Consider the following 19,817-nt stretch of genomic DNA (forward strand, 5'->3'; position numbering starts at 1 on the left):
AGGCTGCTGTCAACACGGGTGTGCACGCATCTCTTTGAGACCTGCTCTCTATTCTTTTCGGTATGTTCCCGGAAGTGGGATGCCTGGATCATGTGGTAATTCTGTGTGTGTGTGTGTGTGTGTGTGTGTGTGTGTGTGTCTGTGTGTGTGTCTGTGTGTGTGTGGAATCTCCTTCCTGTTTTCCTTAACAGCTGCACCAGTTGACATTCCCACCAACAATATGCAAGCATTGCAGTTTCTCCACATCCTTGACAGCATTTGTTATTATTATTTTTTTAGAGTGGCCATCACAATGGGTATGGGTGATATCTCCAGGTGTTTGAGCAGCTAGGATTTGATGCAGGCATCCAGCACTTACAAAATCCCTGGGTGAGTTGGAGGAGAGGTCTTGGGTTGCCCCTGCCCCATGGCTCCCAGAGCCCAGCAGAACCAAGCTGCCCAGGAGGTAGGAATCAGGGATGCCACTGAAGCACCACTGACTTCGTGGGGTGCAGGGACCTGGGATCAGGGCCACTGGGCAGCTCAAGACCAGACACTGGAACATTGCTTTAGACACTTCCACGTGCCTGTGACCCTGCTGGGTGGCAGAACACAGCCCAGAGCTGCCAAAAGATGTCCCCCACCCCCGCCTCCTTGATCTCACCTGGGCGTGTTACTAGTGGATCCTAACCCTGGAAGCCATTGCAAGGGAACCTGGAAATGTAGCCTTCAGCTTCCCAGTCCCTGCTGGTCAGGAAGGCACAGGAGGAGGAGGTGGAAATGAGTGTGGAGGGCCACATATCAGGCCAAAGCAGCAGGCACTCAGAACACAGCGGCCTAGAAGCAGGGTACAGGAAGGGATGCCCCTCAGCCACACCAGCCTTCAGGGCCCCAGGCAGGCTCCCTCCTGCCAAAGGTCTTTGTGTATGTTGTTCCTGCCTTATCAAGTGTTCCTCCCTATCCTCTCTGCCTCCACATAGCAAGGTAACTTCCACTCAGCCAAAAACTATCACTGTCCAGCACAGCCCAAATATCCATAAACAGAAAACATCAACAAATGACAGTATATTCATACAATGAAATACTATACAGCAATGAAAAAGAATCACCGACGACCACATACAACAATATGGGAGGATCTCACAGATGTCATTGTTGAGTGAAGAAGCCGGACTCAAAAGAGCACCATTCACAAACCTCCATTACTAGGAAGCTCAAAAAGAAGCAGAATTAATCTATGGCACAAGGGTAGAGAAGAATGGTTACTTCTCGGGGGGTGGGGGGAGTGTTGGATGGGAGGGGACAAAGGAGCCCTCTAGGGGCTGGGCACGAACTTGGTCTTCTCCAGTTTGGTCTGGGGGCTGAGCCTGAGGCACCCATGGGTAAAACTTCATCAAGCTGAACACTTAAACTGTGCACTCTTCCTATGATGAAAAAGTAAAAATAAAACAGACCCCTTTCTCTGAGAAGCCTTTTCCCAGACTAGAGCACCTTCCCCAGGATGAGCTGCCAGGGTTCTGTGCACCCCTCCTGCCAGGCTATTGTCGTGCTGTGACGGTCTGTTTCCCTGTGGGATGGTGAGGTGGTCTGCTCCCCCAGACAGTAAGCTCCATGCAGGAAGTCTCTCTGTCTTTCCAGGGCCTGTATGTCCAGTGCTCAGATCTTAAGCATCTGCTGCAAGCGTGGGTGACCCCCATCGTGGAACAAGCCCACTCTCTGGCAACAGCAATGTGAACCTTCTGCTTGTAATGTAAATGTGAAACCCAGGGCCAGTAAGAGATTCCTCAGATTTGCTGTGCAGCCATGGAAGGCAGGTTTTTCAAACAGAAACTCTTCTTCCTAAAAATATTCGATGTTCAAATCTTTTCTCTGCAAAAAAGACGGAGGAGGAAGAAGTGAAGTTGCTGTGCGTGAGCCCACCTGGAGGGCAGCAGCCCAGGAAGGGCCAAGGGACTGACAGCGACAGCTCAAGCATTGCAGCACCTGGGCCTCCTGCTCTCCCAAGCCAGCAGGATTTTCACTGACTCCCAGATGGCAGAGCCAAGCCAGTGAGAGACAGATGTTGGCTCAAGTGGTTTTGAGAGCTGATGAGTTCCCTGTCCCTGGAAGTGTGCAAGTAGAGACTAAAGGACCACTCCTGAGAAATATTGTGAGACAAGCAGGGGTTGGGACTGGAAGGATGGCCCTTGGAGGACCTCAGAGACCCAGGCCTCTTGTGTCTGTGTCCTTTTGGAACTCTTGGTCTTCGCCGAGGGAGGGATGCCCTCCAGGCTGCCTGGGACCACATAAGGTCTTGGGAGACAGGAGCAGCAGTAGCAGCTTCGTGTATGAAGGTGCTCCCAGTGCTGGGCACTGTAGGGAGGGCTATCCTACCACATCCTCTCAGCGAAGGGCTTTTGTAGAGTATGGTTAAGAATGCAGATCTGCAGTGGGTCACGCCTGCAATCCCAGCACTTGGGGAGGCTGAGACAGGAGGATGGCTTGAGCCCGGGAGTTCGAGGCTGCCTACCCCCTGCACCCCAGCCTGAATGACAGAGCGAAGAGAAATCCTGTTGTCTCTTTATTTGAAAAAAATTTTTAAGTAGGTTCTGGAGCCGGAATGTTGCAGAGAACCAGGCGCCGGCGCCTCCCAATGGTCACCAGCAGGTGGCGCCGCTGACCTAGGTGCTGGGCCCCTCGGCACCCCTCGTTCTGGGTGGCGCTGGGAGGAGCCAGTTTGGGCGGAGAGGAGCCCTGGGCCGCCTACCCTGGACTGAAGTCAGGTGTTGAGCACGGGTGGACCCGGCTTCTTTACCTTCCTGAGGCCTTGGTCGAGGGGCTGGCTGCCCGCCCTGTGCAGAGGACTTTGTCCCTGGGGTGGGTGGGTGCAATAAATGTCAGGGCTCTGACCCAGGGACAGAGGGGCACAGAGGGTAAAGGGTCCCTCACTCTCCCCTGGCAGCGGCCGCTTGTCACAGTCTAGGAAAATATCCAGAGACTGTGCCGGGTGGGGGGTTTTGCAAACCAGTCCAGTGGGTCGAAACCAGTCCAGCCGCCCCACTGAACAGATTCTGCAGTGGGTCACACCTGCAATCCCAGCGCTTGGAGAGGCTGAGGCAGGAGGATGGCTTGAGCCCAGGAGTTCGAGGCTGCCTGCCCCCTGCACCCCAGCCTGAATGACAGAGCCAAGCAAGACCCTGTTGTCTCTTTATTTAAAAAAAAAAAAAAAATTATTTTTTGTTTGAGACAGATTCTCGCTCTGTTGCCCAGGCTGGAGTACAGTGGCGCGATCTCGGCTCACTGCAAGCTCCGCCTCCCAGGTTCACGCCATTCTCCTGCCTCAGCCTCCCGAGTAGATGGGGAAAAAAAAAAAACTTTTTTAAGGTAGGTTCTGGAGCCCGACTGTCTGGCCCAACTCCAGCTTTGCCACTGTCTCGGGCAGGGCTCAGAATCAGACCCCAGAACAAGGATTCCAGAGCAAGTGCTTGGCTGGGGAGATGCAGGAAGCCCCAGGGGAGGGCACGAGAGGCAGGGAAGGGAAGAAGCCAGTAAAGTATGTGTTATCAAGGCAGTTACCAGGGAAGCACCAGGCTCCCTGCTGTGGGGAGCCCTGGGAGACAGCGTGGAGCAGGCCCCAGAGGTTGCCCCGCTGAGGAGCAAGGGGCTGGAGTAGTTGTCCGCCACCCCCACAGCCACTGTTGGCTGAGACCCTCTCCTGGGACAGGGACTCTCCAGGCCTCCAGCGGTGGAACTTGCCCGTCCTTGCAGCTGGGAGAAGCAGCCCAAGGATCCTGCTCAGGCGTCCCAGGCTTAGACGTGAAGAGGCGAGTCCTGCATGGGGAGGGTGGGTGACTGATGGATGGGACACCAGCTGTGTCCTCTGCGGCCACTGGGCAGCTGTGTGACCTCAGGCAATTGCTCAGCCTCTCTGTGTCTTCTCATCCTCCTTTGGTAGGAGGCTGCCTAGGCCCAGTGAAGGTAGAGGGCCTAGAACTGCGCCTGACACAGCACTACGCATGCCAGGATCTCAGGAGCCCAAGAGGTAGTCCTGTCACACCCCGTTTCACAGAGGAGGATGTGGAGGTCAGAGTGGCTAAGACAACTGCTCAATGCCACTGGGCACCAGAGGGCAGATGGGGCTTGGGGGACCCTGATCCCACACTCACAGGACCCCTGTCCAGTGCGCTCCTGTGGGTAGATCAAGGCAAGGCTGCCTCTAGGACCACCTCCCTCTTGCCCCGCACCAGCCAGGCATCCTCTGGGCAGGGACCATGGCAACACGGCCCCCACCTGTGGCCGGGCCTTCTGGGTCCTCTCCAGGAGGTGTCTAGGCACCACGCTGTGGCATCAGCATCACACACAATGCTGAGATGAAAAGTCTTACGCAGGTGTCTTCGCACACCTGAGCAAACATTTCTACAGGAATAATTTCCCCCAGCGGGATTCTTGGATCAAAGGGAAGCACACATGATTATTCTAGAAGTTGACAGCCATTGTCCAATTGACACCCTCACCCACAGGGCTCTTTCCCCACATCCTTGGCAATACCAGGTCCTTGTTTTTAAATCTGTGCCGACCCGATGGGCAGAGAGTGGCACCTTGTCATGCTGTCTCCTGCCTGTTTGATCCAGGATTTTGTGGACCGTGGGTTTGGCAGCTGCTGGCACTTCTTCTGCACGTTCCCTTTTTGTGTCCTTTTCCAGATTGCTATTTCTTTGGGGCTTTTTTCTTAGTGATTTGTAGGGTGCTTTAAAATAAAATCTTCTGTCTGCCATGGTCTGTAGGTGACAAATATTTCTTCTCAGCTAATTGTTTTATTTTCAGCCATGTTGGTGGGGACTTTGTGATTGTTTTGTTTTTTGTGATTGGTCTTTGGAAGTTGCTCATGTTTGTGTAATCGGATTTGTCATTCTTTTCCTTTGTCATTTCAGAGTTTGTGTCAGGAATTCTTCCCTCTTCAACCCATTCCTCCACCTCCCTCCGCAGACTGGCCGGTGTTCTCTCTAGATCTGCCTCTCCCTCCATGCCATGCTCTCGGGCCCTTCGTGGTGAAGCCAGGTGGCCGTCCTCCTGCCCCTGCCCCTGAAGGAGAAAGCTCCAAGACCTGCTGTATTCATGTCCCCTTCCTGGAGGCCCACCTTCACGTGCCCACCTACCTCCTCAGCATGCCTGAGCCCCTATCGCTTTCCTCTCGCAGCAGCCTCAGGTGCAGAGCCCGGGGACTCTGGTCTGACACCGATGGCTTCTTAACTACAATCAGCACACCTGCTGCTCACCACCCTTGGCCAGGCCAAGCCACAGCCAGGCCCAGCCCTGGATTCGAGATTGTTATTTCTGCAAAATGGATCATCCAGGCATCTCTGGCTTGTCTCTGGCCCCCCCGCACCCCTCCACCACGCCCCTGGGCTGCTGCTGCTGATGTCTCCTTCCTGCCTACATCGGACCCAGTTCCCCCATGTTCATCCCTGGGGCTGGGCCACCTGCTGCTCCCCCTGGCTCATCCACTGCCCGTTACCAAGCCGCACACAGCTCATCGACCTACAGCCACACTTGTCACACCTCCTTGCAGACCACGAGTCCAGAGAAGCACGTGATGCAACCTCCCACACCTGACTCTTTTACAAACCAACAGGCCACTGGGAGGCTGCTCTCCTTGTCTCTGGGGTGGCAGCAGGGGAAGCAGGAGAATGAACAGCCTCCAAAACTTCTCCTCAGACGGAGCCGCCATGGAGGAACAAAGGGTCACCATCAACAAAGTCCATTTAGCCCAATCAGCCTCCTGCCCAGCAAACCAGGGAGGCATGCTCTGCCCTCAGCCCTCAGGTCCCAGGGGCCCGGCCCTGGCAGCCTCTTTGTTATTCCTGGCTCCCGGGACCAGGACTCTCAGGGTGCCCATGCCAGGGAGGCCTGCATGGCCGGGAGCAGGTATTTCCTTCTGTGCCCTCTGCGGGCTCAGGAAGACCCCACCCTGCAGGTGGCAGGAAGGGGCTGTGTTGAGCAAGGGGCCCAGCAGCTGGAGTGGGCCTGGGTCTAACTCTCCACTCCTGTTTGCATTGGCAAAGCACCGCAGCTGACACGGGCTGCGGGAGCACCACGCTCAGAGGAGCCGGCGACGGCTGTTTCCCAGCTGCTGTGCAATTTGCTGAGTTCAACACACATGTATTGACTGCCCACTGTGTTTTCTGTGCTCACTTGGAAATTCTGTTGAGCGCCTACTATGTGCTAGGCACTTGTCTGTGTGCTGGGGATATGGCCTGGGGCAAAGGTGTCAGTTCAGCTCCCCTGGGAAGTAGACAACAGGTTGGAGTTAGAGATACAAGAACTGTGTTAGGAGAAGGAGCTGTAAAGGAGAAAGGGGCGAGGGGCAGAGCAGTCAGGGAGAGCATGGAGCGCACCAAGCACAATGCTTGTGAAGGAGAGGGGCCACTGGAGAGCTGGGCGGGGGAGCCTCACCCGGCCCCAGGGGGTCTCTGGAGCAAAGATGGCCAGTACTGGGGTCCCAGGTTGGGCAGGATGATTTGAATGTGGCGGAAGATCCCCAAGTAGCTGGAGGCTGTCAGCTGACTGCACTTCTTGCAGAGGCTTCTCTCTTGAAGGCCGACCTGAGAAGAGCACCTCCATGGTGGCCACGGGAGATTAAATGCAGCTGCCATCCTGTGGAGGGGATGGACAACACACCAAGCAGCAACTGCACCCCCTTCTAGAACAGAGGCCCCAAATGACAGTGCTTCAAGAGAGGTGGGAGCTGGCTGTGCACAGTGGCTCATGCCTGTAATCCCAGAGCTATGGGAGGCCGAGGTGGGAGGCTCACTTGAGGCCAGGAGTTCAAGGCCTGCCTGGGCAACATAACGAGACCCCATTTCTACAAAAAATACCAAAAAAAAATTCAGCTGGACATGGTGGCATGTGGCTATAGTCCCAGCTACTCAGAAAGCTGAGGTGGGAGGATTGCTAGAGCCCAGGCTAGGCTGCAGTGAGCTATGATGGTGCCACTGTACTGCAGCCTGGGTGACAGAGTGAGACCCAGTCTCTTAAAAAAAAAAAAAAAATTATTAAGGGGAGGGCAAGCCCTTTTCCATACTTTCTTAACCCTGCTGTTTAGGATGTGGACATGATGGTGCACTGTCTTGAGCTACATGGACAAGAGAAACACCCTAGGGATGGGAGAGAGAAGGGTGGATCCCTGAATAACTGCATGGAGCAGAGTTGCCACCGCAGCCCTGAACTGCCCTGCCACCCCTAGACAGTGTGCTGGAGAAATGAACCTCTGTCTTGTTAAAGCCACTGTTGTTAGACGTAGCTAAACCTAGATCCTAAATACAAACATAGCATGTTCTTTTTTTTTTTTTTTTTTTTTCCTGAGGCGGAGTCTCACTCTTCGCCCAGGCTGGACTGCAATGGCACAATCTCGGCTCACTGCAACCTCCACCTCCCAGGTTGAAGCAATTCTCCCACCTCAGCCTCCCAAGTAGCTGGTATTACAGGCGTGCGCCACCACGCCTGGCTAATTTTTGTATTTTTAGTAGAGACGGGGTTTCACCACATTGGCCAGACTGCTCTCGAACTCCTGACCTCAAGTAATCCGCCTGTCTCAGCCTCCCAAAGTGCTGGGGTTCCAGCCACTGCACCCCTCCACACATAGCGTGTTCTTTTTGTCCACATAAAACTTACCATCTTGACCATCGTGAAATGCACAGTTCAGTGGCACTAAGCACAGTCTCATTGTTGTGCAACCATTACCATCGTCCATCTCAAGAACTTTTTCGCCGGGTGCGGTGGCTCACGCCTGTAATCTCAATGCTTTGGGAGGCCAAGGTGGGCAGATCACAAGGTCAGGAGATCGAGGCCATCCTGGCTAACACGGTGAAACCCCGTCTCTGCTAAAAATACAAAAAATTAGGCGGGCGTGGTGGCGGGCGCCTGTAGTCCCAGCTACTCAGACGCTGAGGCAGGAGAATGGCGTGAACCCAGGAGGCGGAGCTTGCAGTGAGCCGAGATAGGGCCACTGCACTCTAGCCTGGGCGACAGAGCGAGACTCCGTCTCTTAAAAAAAAAAAAAAAGAACTTTTTCATCTTCCTCAAATTGAAACTGTCTCCAATGAACAGTAAACAGTAACTCCCCATTCCCCTTCCCTTAGCTCGTATAAGTGGAATCATATAGAGTTTGTCTTTTCACGGAATATTACGCCCTCACGTTCTTCCATATTGTAGCATGTGCCAGAATTTCCTTCCTTTGTAAGACTGAATAATATTTCATTGTACGCACAGACCACATTTTTGTTTATCGATGGTCATTTGGGTGGCTTCCACCTTTTCGTTGTTGTAAAGAATGCTGCTATAGTGAGCTGAGATCACGCCACTGCGCTCCAGCCTAGGCAACAGAGTGAGACTCCGTCTCAAAAAAAAAAGAATGCTGCTATAAACATGGGTGAACAAACATCTGTTGGAGACCCTGATCTCAATTATTTTTGGGGTATTTTTTGGTATATACCCAAAAGCGGAATTACTAGATTATATGGTAATTCTGCACAGTGACTTTTCCACTAGTGTTTAACATGGTGTCTTGACAGAATAGCTGTAAGATTACACTGAAAAAGCAGCAGGGGAAGTGCTGTGAAGGCGGCCCATGAGCTTGTAGGAAAGGCGGTCAGCAGCACACCTCCACTGTAATGGGTTTGTTTACCCGCTAGCCTACCAACAGCTGCAGGCCCCTTTCCTGGCCCTGGCCCTGCCCCTGCCCCACATTGCTCCCCACATTAGACCCAGCTGTGCTGCACCTCTGCCCTTCTGCCCCGGCTCCTGCTTGTTACAGGGAAGGGCTGGAGGGCTCTTTGTCCAGGTTTGTCATCCAATATGAGCACTCAGTGCACACGGATGGCTTTACCTGGCACTCAGCCAGTGAACTCAGCATCTGCTCCGGCCCTTTAGCACTGAGCTAGGCTATCTACCTTCATAGGCCAATCACAGGTTGTCACAGGTAAATGACCACATGTGGTTTGTGCCTCACTTTCTGACTTTGGAACATAATCCCCTGGTAGGGGTGGGGGAGGGCCATTTTTCTGGAGCTTCCTCCTATTTTCAAGCTTTATCATGCAGAACAAAACCTTCTAAGCAGAAGCCTCAATGTCCTCTTTCTGTGGGTTGCATGTGTCCCCCAAAAGGCGTGTATTCAACACTTAATCCCCGGTGCAATGGTATTGGGAGCTGGGGCCTAATAGGAGGTGTTTAGGTTATAAGGTGCCCACCGTCACGCATGGGTTAATGCTGATTATAAAAGGCCTTGAGACTGTGAGTTTGGTCTCTTACCCTCCTGATTTCCACCATGGGATGAGGCAGCAAGAAGGCCCTCACCAAATGCTGGGCTCAGGCCAGCACCATGCCCTTGGGCTTCCCAGCCTCCAGAATTATGAGCCACATAAATGTCTGATTATTATAAATGACCCAGTCTCAGGTATTCTGTTATAGCAGCACGAAATGGACTCAGACATCTGTCTGCCAGCCCTGCCCTCCTGAGGGCTGGAATGCCGTTCGCTGCACTTCCCAGCCTCTCTACTTTGCCTCACACTGACTTCCCTCCCTGGAACCAGCAGTTCCTGCTTATTTGGGCGTTTTCAGATCTTACTGATCTTTCAAGGGCACCTCCTCTGTGAACTTACCTGGGTCCTTCCCAGCTTGGAGGGATCTCACAGCACATTCTGTAGCCAGTACCATGTTCTACCGTCTCTTCTAAAGCACAGTTCCTGGGCCAGAGCCCCAGCATGGCCTGCAGGCTGCAGGAAATGTGAATTCCAAGGCCCCCCTAGACCTCCTGATTCAGAAACTGGTGGTGGAGCCAACAATCTGTGTCTTATTGGCATAGATAGTTCTAGGTCTACCAGGCTGCCAGGAGGCCTCAATGGCTTGACAATCATGGGGCACGAAGCAACGCCCGCGAGTCAGCAGCAGGGGGTCCCAGCTGGTCTCCCCAAGGGTTCTTCTTCCCTCCTCTTCTTCTTAAAGTGTGGGAAAATTTACAGCAAAGTACACAAATGTTGGTGTGCAAATCAATGCCTTTTAACAAATGTGTCCACCCCGTCATCACACCCCAGATGAAGACATGGAACATTTCCAGGACCCCAGAAAGCTCCCTGGTGCCTCCTTCCCGTCAATAACCCCATCCTCCACCAGCCCCACCAAGAAACCACCACCAGGACTTCTGTCTCCATAGATGACTTTTGCCTGTTTTTTTTTTGTTTTTTTTTTTTGAGACGGAGTCTCGCTCTGTCACACAGGCTGGAGTGCCGTGGCACCATCTCGGCTCACTGCAAGCTCTGCCTCCCGGGTTCACGCCATTCTCCTGCCTCAGCGCGTGAGTAGCTGGGACTACAGGCGCCCGCCGCCCCGCCCGGCTAATTTTTTGTATATTTAGTAGAGAAGGGGTTTCACTGTGTTAGCCAGGATGGTCTCGATCTCCTGACCTCGTAATCCACCTGCCTCAGCCTCCCAAAGTGTTGGGACTACAGGCGTGAGCCACCGCACCCAACCTTGCCTGTTTTTGACCTCCATACTGTGCATGCTCTTTTGCGTCTGGATTCTTTTGTCTGACTTTATCTGCGAGATTCATCTAACTTGTTGCATGGAAGAGTCATTTGGTCTTTTCCTCTGCTATGCAATGCAGGAGAACATTTGTTTGTTTTTAGTTTATAGAATGCAGTAAGTTTTCTTTTGGTGGACATCAGCACTTGTTTCTCTTGGGTGTCTGACCCTTTCCCATGCTTTCCAACCCTAGCTTCTAAGCTCTCTGAGGGTACAGAGTTTGCCTCTGTCTATCCTGGCCTGACACGCAGTCTCCTCCTGTCAGCATTTACTCAGTCCAAATTGCAACAGGGGCAGGTCCCTGCCAGCTGAGGGAGCTATTCTTCCAGCTCAGCAGGGGGTTGGCCAGTCTTGTCCTCTGGGACAAAGCCCAGCCAGAGTTCTGGGCACTGTGGTTCAGAAGGCCTGAGACACGTGGTTTTACCAGGGCTGGGTACCAAGAACCATGCTTGAGGCTGACGGCATTTCATTGGCAGCGTCTGTGGGGGGCTTGGGGACTCAGCCGTGGGAAGCCTGTTCTGCACACAGCCATGGCGCAAGAAATGCTTTTTCCTGCGACGGTTCAGTGAGAACCATGATGGCAGTGGTGCAGCATCCTCCCAGCTTGGTTTTTAAACATGGGAAGGGCTTCTAAAAAGTCACACAGCTGGTTAATGTTTGAACCAGGGTGGCACAGGTTTGTGCGAAGCAGTGAGTGGAGCTGTCTGAATGCCAGGAGGAGGGTCACCCTGGAGGCGGGTGACACAGGGGTCAGTGCAGGTCAGAGGCAGAGGCTGGGCCCAGATGCCATGCGAGCTCCAGGCCACTTTCCCAGAGAAGTGAGCGGCGGCCAGGCTGCCGGAGGCTGTGTGGCCTCTTCAGGCCCTCACTGGTCCTGATTTTGAGGGGTGACTCATGCCGGCTTGGACATCCACTTCTGGCTCAAGTTGCTCTGGGTTCCTCCACACAGACCAGAGGGATTCCTGCGTCACAGGAATCCAGGAAGGGGTGGGGGGAGTTGCAGGTTGAGAAGACAGAGGTGAGTGGCCCCCGGGCCCCTCCCCTGTTGAGTCACGGGAAGGGAATGGAAATAGTGTGTGCTGAAGCTGAGTCAGGGCCCAGCCTCACCTTCTCGGGACCTCATATGGGCTCTGAGGCGAGAGGCCCACCTGTCCCCCCCTCCTTGCTGCCTCCTCTCCCAAGCATGAGGAGGGCGAGCAGGAAGGATTTAGGTTAGCTCTCAAGAAGGACTTCCTGAATCGCGCCAGGCGACACTGAGAGGCATCTCTCAAAGGAAGTTGTGAAATCTTCCTTGGGACCAATTTGAGGTTTGGTCTGGGTCCAACCAGGACTATCTTTATGGCTCTAGAATATTTTCAAGTGTTAGACATTCCTTCCTCGACATGACTCAGGGAGCATCCGATGTGTGCCAGGCCTGGTGGCAGGAGCAGGGCCAGCTGAGTGTGGGACATGCCCCACTCTGGGGGTCTTCTCTAGGTCAGCATTACAGCAGCCTTGGAGAAGACGGCTCCCACCCCTTCCGTCCTCCCCTCTCCTGGCTCCCTTGGGCAGCCTGCTCTGCCAGCCACACCACACTCCACTTTCGGATTCCGGAAGGAAACTATGGGTAATAAATAGGACAAAGGGTCAATTTCCTTCCTGTGCAAATCCCAGTAGCATTTGCAGAGTGCCAAGCATGGGAGGGCGCCCTCCTAAGTGCTTTACCTGCCTTCACTCCACCACAGCCCTGTGAGGAAGGTGCTCCCCTTTCACAGAGAAGGAAACTGAGGCTCAGTGAGGTGAGCAGCCTGGCTACAGTGGCACTGCCAGTGAGCAGCTGACCCAGCCTGTGACCTGGGCTGTGGCACAGCAAACAGCCAGCAAGCACTGGGTGCTTTTCCTGTGCTGGGCCAGCACTTTGCAGGCATCGACTCAATTGAACCCTCACAACCACCACACATTGGTAAGAAAACCACCCTGACAGTCCTGGGAAAATGCACAGTCTTAGTGCTCTGAAGGAAACAAAAAAGGACACATCAGTCATCAAAGAAAACAGAGAGATCCATCTGGAGTGCCTTGAATTGGCAAATGGTTTAATTTTCCTGTATAGGGACGCTGGCCTTGCTGGGGCACCATGGAGCGGGGCCCCGTGCTGGTGGGTTGTTCACTGGGACCACCCTTCTGGAATGTGGGAAGGCGGCATGGCAGGACCCACCGAATGCCTTCAAAAGCCAGTGGTCCATGCCCCTGTCTCCTTCCTTAGAGTCTTCCAGAAAAGACTGGTCAGAGGTGCAGCACAGATAAACCTACAAAGCTTTTCATCAAAGCATCACTTACAATGGTGAAAAGGCAGAAGAATCACTGAATTCCACCAAGGTGGAGCAGCCGAGGAAATCGTGGGTAGAACACTAGGGAGTCACAAGAAACAACATATTTGAGGGGACATTTATAGCAGAGGAAAATGCTCATGATCTAATGCTACACAAAAAGGGCAGGATACAAAATAAGGTGTATTGGAAGAAAGAGGGTGGCATGGTTGTCCATCCACTGCTTTCAGGGACTGGACTAAGTGACCTGGATCAGAGGGAGGGCAAGAGATCTGCTTCCTGCCTGAGCCCTGTGAACAGTTGAAATCACTCGTGTGTCTGCAGGAATCATTCTTATATTTGCTATTCTGTGGTAACTTCAAACCTACACAAAATTTGCGAGAATAAAAAACACCCTGCCACATACTCTTCACCTACATTCACCCATTGTTAACATTTTGTAGTATTTATTTTCTCTCTCATTCTTTTTTTTTTTTTTGACAGAGTCTCACTCTGTTGCCCAGGCTGGAGTGCAGCGGTGCGATCTCAGCTCACAGCAACTTCCATCTCCTGGATGCAAATGATTCTCCTGCCTCAGCCTCCCAGGTAACTGGGACTGCAGGTGTGGACCACCATGCCTGGCTTATTTACTTGTATTTTAGTAGAGACAGGGTCTCACTGTGTTGGCCAGGTTGGTCTCAAACTCCTGATCTCAAATGATCTGCCCACCTCAGCCTCCCAAAGTGCTGGGATTACAGGTGTGAGCCACCACGCCAGCCTGTTTTTCACATTTCTATTTCATGCTCCAGAATTCAGGAGCTCTAAGAGGAGGCTGCCTGGGCGACCTGCCTGTGGTAAGGGTGGACAGGCTGCCTCCCGGCTGCTCTGAGGATGGCCCTGGGTCTGAGGGAGGGCATTGCACTCTGGCGTGTTTGGGACTGGGCTTTGGAGATGTAAACATGGAGCGTCCCTCAGGAACCCAGGGCAGGCGCCCCTGGGAAGAGGAATGGCTCCTTCTTTCCTCCCTCAGTCCCTTTCCTGAATGCCTATGTCACTTCTGGGCACACAGGGGCTCAGCTTGCAGGGAGCCACTCTCCAGGTGAGGCTAAGGTTTGGGGGCTCTCTCTGTGCTCCATCTGCTCCAGCACTCTCTCCTCAGATGGGCCTCCTCTGTTCTCTGCTTTGCTCTCCCTGCAAGGAGTCCAATCCTCGAAGGTGGGAGAGTCCAGAGAAGAAAAGAGCCAAATGGAGGAAGAGGACCCTGGGAACCCTTGGGTGCCGCAGAGCTTGGGAGGTGACGCGTCTGGCCCAACTCTGCTCCTCTCTGCCGGTTCCCAAAGCCAGAAGTAGGCAGCTCCCTTATCCTGTCTTTTCAGAGGAAGTGTTGAGTCCAACAGGATGGGGTTCAAATCCCAGCTTCACCACTGATTCTGGACAAGTTTATTCTCCTTTCTTAGCCTCTGTTTCCTCATCTGGAAAGTGGGGCTGTCTGAGACTAAACCTGAGAAGGCACAGGAAGGGCTTCCCGTGGCTTCTGCAAAGAGCTCCACGAACACTCGCTCTCCTTCATCCGAGCAGCAATCCTCGCTGGGCCTCAGGTGCAGGGGGTAGCGGGGAACAAAACACCATCCTTGTGCTTTTACAGCTTACAATCCAGTGATTCTCATCATCAGTACATGTGGCCAAAGGCCCCTGGCTGACTTGTAGGCTGTGGGGTTGAATATGAGCCTCTGGGTGGTGTGGAAAATCCGGGAAACAGGTGGAAAGGGCAGCTATTCAAACCCTGCGAGGGTGCCGGGGCCATCAGGTTACACGTGGCAGCGCAGGTGAACTCAGGTCTTCTCACCTGGGGCTTGTCAGGTACTAGGGACAGCAGGCACCCAGATTCCTCTAAGGAGCCACAGGGCTGGCCAGGCCTCGAGAAGAACAGTGTCAAAGTTCAGGGGACCCTTTCTTTCACCCCTTCAGGAGCTGATGTCCCTGCAGGGCCCCCACAAAGCACAGCCGAGTTTCTCCCACTTTCTCTGCATCTCTTTCTGCCTTCAGCTTCCTCTGTGGTGGCCTTTGTTTTTCCTGCCCATCTTTGGTGGCTCTCAAATGTCATCCCTGCTCCACAGAGAAAAGGGTGCTGAGTGGCCAACCATCCAGCATGAGGGTCCCCTGCAGCAGCTCGCTCAGGCCAGGGCCCTCCCAGGATGCTAGTCCTGTGAACGGATGGAGTCTCCTGCCTGCTTGGTCACCGTGACCCCGGTGGGGAGAGACAGTCAAGGAGCACAGGCAGGATTTGTGCAAAAGATCTGGCCCGTGGCTCCTTTCTCAGTAGGGGCTGTGGGCTTCCAACCTTCCCAAGATTCCCCATGCAGAGCCAGGGCCTAAGCCACGGACCCCTTGGTCATCCAGGCCCCTCCAAGGCCCTGGGCCCACCAAGACCTCTAGCCTTGAAGCACATGGTCCCCAGCTTATGTAAAACTTGGCATGAGTGAGAAACTCAGCCTCAGTGGGTGAAGACTGCTGCCTCTTTCTGGCCTTTCCTCCAGCACACTTCGGGGAGGTGAGGGGGCTCCAGCTTGATCATCAGGGGGTGCTCAGGCACCTCCTTGCATAGGAAAGTTGTTTCTCACCACCCCAGCATGGGCTTGGCTTCCGGAAGCCCTTCCTCCTCCTAGGCTGACTCACCTGCTTGGCGCCAGGACATGGGAGATTCAGAGCCAGGGGTGGGGTCCTGCGGTTGTGGGCTGCGCGTAGATGGTGAAGGAGAATCAGAGTTGAAATGCATAGAGGCTCTCTAGGACACGGTGCAAATGTACTGGCAATCCACCCACCGATTCCAACACCTGACCAAGATCCCCGGATGCAGAGCAGGCAGGCTTTGCCTGTAGCCATGGAGAAACCAAAACCAGTGGGAGGTTCCCTTCCCATCTCTGCAAACGTGCTGTTCCCAGGAGCTCTGTCTACCTTGAATGCCCCATTTCTAGCTCTAGGATTTGCATCTGAGAGTGGGATGTGTGTTTATGAAGGGAAGACCACAGAAAATAATCTTTTGGGAAAATAAATGAGCGTTCTTCCATGCTTGGCCTGCTTTGACAATGCAGATTTTCCTTTTACTTGGAGCTTACCTTCTCTAGGCTATTTTCAATATTTTCAGTGGATGTGAGTTTGTTCTTGGAGCCAGACTACCTGGCTTCAAAGCTGCTTGCCACTTCCTACCTGGGACCTAAGGCGAGCCGTGTAGCTCTAGGTCCCTCACCTGTGAAACGGGAAGAACCACGGTGCCCACATTGCATCATACACTTGCATATGCAGGCACATCCTACCTGCAAAAAAGCAAGGAGCAGGGTAAGGGGGCAGCTATCTTGATCATGTTCCCCAGAAGCAGACCCTGATTTGTTATGGCAGTGACTGATGAAGGACGGCACCCAAGGAGAGCAGTAAGGGAACGGGGGTAGCAGACAGAGAGGGGAAAAGCCATGCAAGTCTGTGGCCCCAGGCAAAATCCTACAGAAGCAGGTCCCTCGGGGGACTGTGGAGTGGAGTCACATCTCTGTTTCCCAGCCTGAGCTAAGGATACACATGTCAGTCATTAGTGAAGGGCCATCCTGCGGCAGGGGGACACTTCCAGCTCTCTGCAGAAAGGACTAAGAGGCTCCAATAGCCTGATGACAGTCTCGCTGCAAAGAGTCATAGGTGTGGACAGTTGGAAACCAAGGCCATTCAGGCCAGGAAGGGGGTGCATGTGAAGGTGCGAGGGGTCACGCTTCTGTGACCTGCTGGTGGAGAGTGGACAGTAGCCACACAAGACAAAAGTGAGCGTTCTGAATTCAGAGACCAGAAATGGAGGCTTTCACAAATATGCATGCACCATGCTTTTTCATGGGATAGTCTATCTGGAAGATCATTCCAGGCTGCAGTATGTAAAGCTACCTCATTCTTCTTTTTCACAGTTGCAGAGTTCACTGAGTGGCTACGTTATTATGGAGCTCACCAACCTCTATTGATGGGTATTTAGATTGTTTCCAATCTTGCTATTACAAGAAAAACATGCCACAATAAATATCCTTGTACTAGGGCCATCAGCACATTTGCAAGTGTCCCTGTACATTTCTAGGAGTAAGTTTTCAGATCAAAAGGCATGTGCATTAAAAAAAATGTTGATAGTGGCCTTACCAGTTTATACTCCCACCAGTAATGTGTGAGAGAGCTTGTCTCCCACACCCACGGTGACACAGTGTTATCACAGTTTTGGATGATTGCCAATCTGATAGTTGAAAAATAGTCTTGAACTCTAGTTTCCATTTGCACTTCTCTGATTATAAATAAGGCTAAACATTGTTTATAAGCTCCAGGACCATTTCTACTTCCTGTTCTGTGAACTATCTGTTCATGTCCATACTTGTGGAAGTTTTTTCTATTGAAGTTTTATTTGTCTTATTGATTGTTAGGAGCTCTTTATATATTAAGGAAATTTGGATCTTGAGTAGAGTGACTTGAGGATGAAAGCAGAGAGAATTCATTCATCCAAGGGCTTCCCGTTCGGCTACCTAAAACTCATATCCAAACCAGTCCTTTCCAGGATGTGGTTTTTTACTTCTTCTTTTGGTTTTGTGAGCTAACCTATAACCTCCCAGCACATTCCTTGCTTGCTTTGCCTTGGCTAGACTTAGCCAGAGCTGATTTCAATGGTGTGAGGAGTCTTGATGTATCCACTCTCCCTTACCAGGTTGAGTCTGAGGGTCTGAGTTGATGTCGTCCCCATCTTCCAGCTGAGATTCCCTGCTTTTCTCTGTGGGTCCCTCAACTTCCAGGTCCAGGCAACTAGTGACCCTTCCTAGCCAGCTCGCTCAGGGGCGTTTGCAGCCTCCTCCGCCCTGTCCTCATGTCTAGGCCAGAGGTCCTGTTTTCTTCACTTGGAAGGTGATGTCGCTGATTGATTTAAGAGCTTGTTTGGGCTCTCAGCTCTGGGAGTGTAGGTAGTGGGTCTCCCTTGATAATTGTGTCCCAGAGCTTCAAAGGCCAGGGCCAGCAGGGCCCTTGGGGATTTTGGGGACCAATCACCACAGTGGACAGAGGAGATGCGGTGCAGAGGGGGAGCTGTCCCAGGTCACACACTGTGTTGGGGGACACATGTGGGTCCAGGAGACCCTTTCTGAATCACTGTTGAGGGTTCGTTCTTTCTCTTGGCAAGCACTCCTCAATGGCTGGATTCCCCAGCTTACAGGCAGGGCTGTGCCATAGTGAGCACCAACTCCACATGCAAAGGCAACCATAGCTGCCCTGTAGGCCAAGGACAGAGGAGCCTGTTTGGGGAAGTGGGGAGGTGGCTTGGAGAAGATGGCCTGGAAAGACTAGCTTGGGTTGGGGCATGGCAAGTGCAAAGGCCCTGAGGCAGGTGAGAATGAGCATTTTGAGCATGGAGGCCACAGGGAGAGGGTCCCACGGGCAGGGGTGTCGATCAGAGAGACCATCCTCCAACCAAGACCATGTAACCAAGACCTGGCAGAAATGGAAACAATGGGCAAAGAGCCTTCTAGGCAGGGGAAGTGGCCCAGGGAAGGCCGTGCAGTTGGAAGGAGCCGAAGCGCTGCAATAAAGTGTGGCTCCAGACTGGCTGGGACAGAGAGAGTGAGCCAAAGCAGTCAGGCAGGATGGCTTGGACACAGGTGGGATCCTGCTCGTTGGTCTGACAGGCTTTTATTCTGAGTGTACCTGGGAACACTGTGGTGGCCATGGTGTTTCTAGCAGGCAGGCCGTGGCACTGGGTGAGAGATGTGACTATGTGGGAGTGAGCACTCCTTCCATGGCCATGAAAAGGGCCTTAGAGATTGTGGCAGAAGCTTTCCCAGTACCCACACCCCAGGCCCGGCCACAAGGATATGGGCCGTGCTTCTGGCTGCCTGGGGCTTTCTCTGCGACACATTGCACCCCACGGGGAACCGCAGAACCAGCTCCATCACCATCAACCCAGAACTGCTGGCAGCCAATGCCCGTGAGAGTTGGGTTCAACACCCCAGCTGGCTGGCCGGGCTGGGGAGCCTCTGAGGTATGTTCTGCTCCCCCAGGGAGGGAGCTCCATGTGCCCACAGCGCTCCCTGTCACCCCCTCCACCCCGCCAGGAAGGGATCCTCCCCCAGGGATGGAGGTTCAGGTGCCCAGAGTGCTCCCTGGCACAGCCTGCCTCGGCTCTTTCTCTTGCCTGCCTCACTTCCTGCCTCATTTCCTGACTCAGCAACTGGTGTTTTCTGGACCCCTCCACATACGCTCAGATCCTCCTCTCAGGTCGGGGGAGCCCACCATAGCCAGGGCTCTTCCCAGAGACATACATGTATCCCCACTCTCAGGCCCTAGCCACTCGATGTCACCTGATGTTCCTGAACTATGACTCCCACAAAAGGTTGGGATCCATCCTTCCTGCTCACCGCTGAACCCCCAACTCCAGGCAGAGCCCCTGTGCATCGCAGACTCCTGGTAGGTGTTGTTGGAGGATGGTGAGGTGGGCCCTGAAGGCCAGGGAGGCTGAGGAAGAGTCCCCAGGCCAGGGAGAGAGAGGCTCAGCCAGACCTCCTGGGCCAGGAGCCCTCAGACCTCCCGCAGGTGAGGGACACGCTGTTCTGAACAGAGGCTGAGTGAGTTCTGTCCACAGCAATCCTGTCGAACCTGTCTGGCCGGGTACAGAGCTTCAGGGCCCATATCCACGCTCAGGGGCAGGTGTCCTCAGGCGAGGACCATCAGGCAGCTTTCCCCCTCCAGGGCCCCTCCCTAGACAGGGCTCACACCAGACTTGCCCAGGGCCACAGCCCAGGACAGAGTGTTTGGCCTGTCTAAGGCCCAATATAGATTCCAGAATTCATTCATGGTTGCTGAACATTCCAGTTCAGCTGGGGACATGGGACGGGCAGGAGGGGTCTGCTGCCTAATCTGATGGATCTTCCATCCTGGTGGGGCAGGGGGCAGATGAGAACCAAGTGGGCACACAGGGAGATGGGAACTCAAGGCAGGGGGATG

The 19,817-nt window shown here is 53.5% G+C and overlaps 2 annotated features.

The window, feature by feature from the left end:
• Positions 5,398–5,926: an enhancer, noted in NCBI's record as "H3K27ac-H3K4me1 hESC enhancer chr17:16908048-16908576 (GRCh37/hg19 assembly coordinates)". NCBI's record gives its function as "activates a minimal SCP1, AML or CMV promoter by ChIP-STARR-seq in naive H9 embryonic stem cells {active_cell/tissue: H9 hESC(naive)}" and the evidence as "EXISTENCE:reporter gene assay evidence [ECO:0000049][PMID:30033119]".
• Positions 11,752–12,744: an enhancer, noted in NCBI's record as "H3K4me1 hESC enhancer chr17:16914402-16915394 (GRCh37/hg19 assembly coordinates)". NCBI's record gives its function as "activates a minimal SCP1, AML or CMV promoter by ChIP-STARR-seq in primed H9 embryonic stem cells {active_cell/tissue: H9 hESC(primed)}" and the evidence as "EXISTENCE:reporter gene assay evidence [ECO:0000049][PMID:30033119]".

This window comes from Homo sapiens, chromosome 17, assembly GCF_000001405.40.
Source record: "Homo sapiens chromosome 17, GRCh38.p14 Primary Assembly".
NCBI classification, from domain to species: Eukaryota; Metazoa; Chordata; class Mammalia; order Primates; family Hominidae; genus Homo; species Homo sapiens.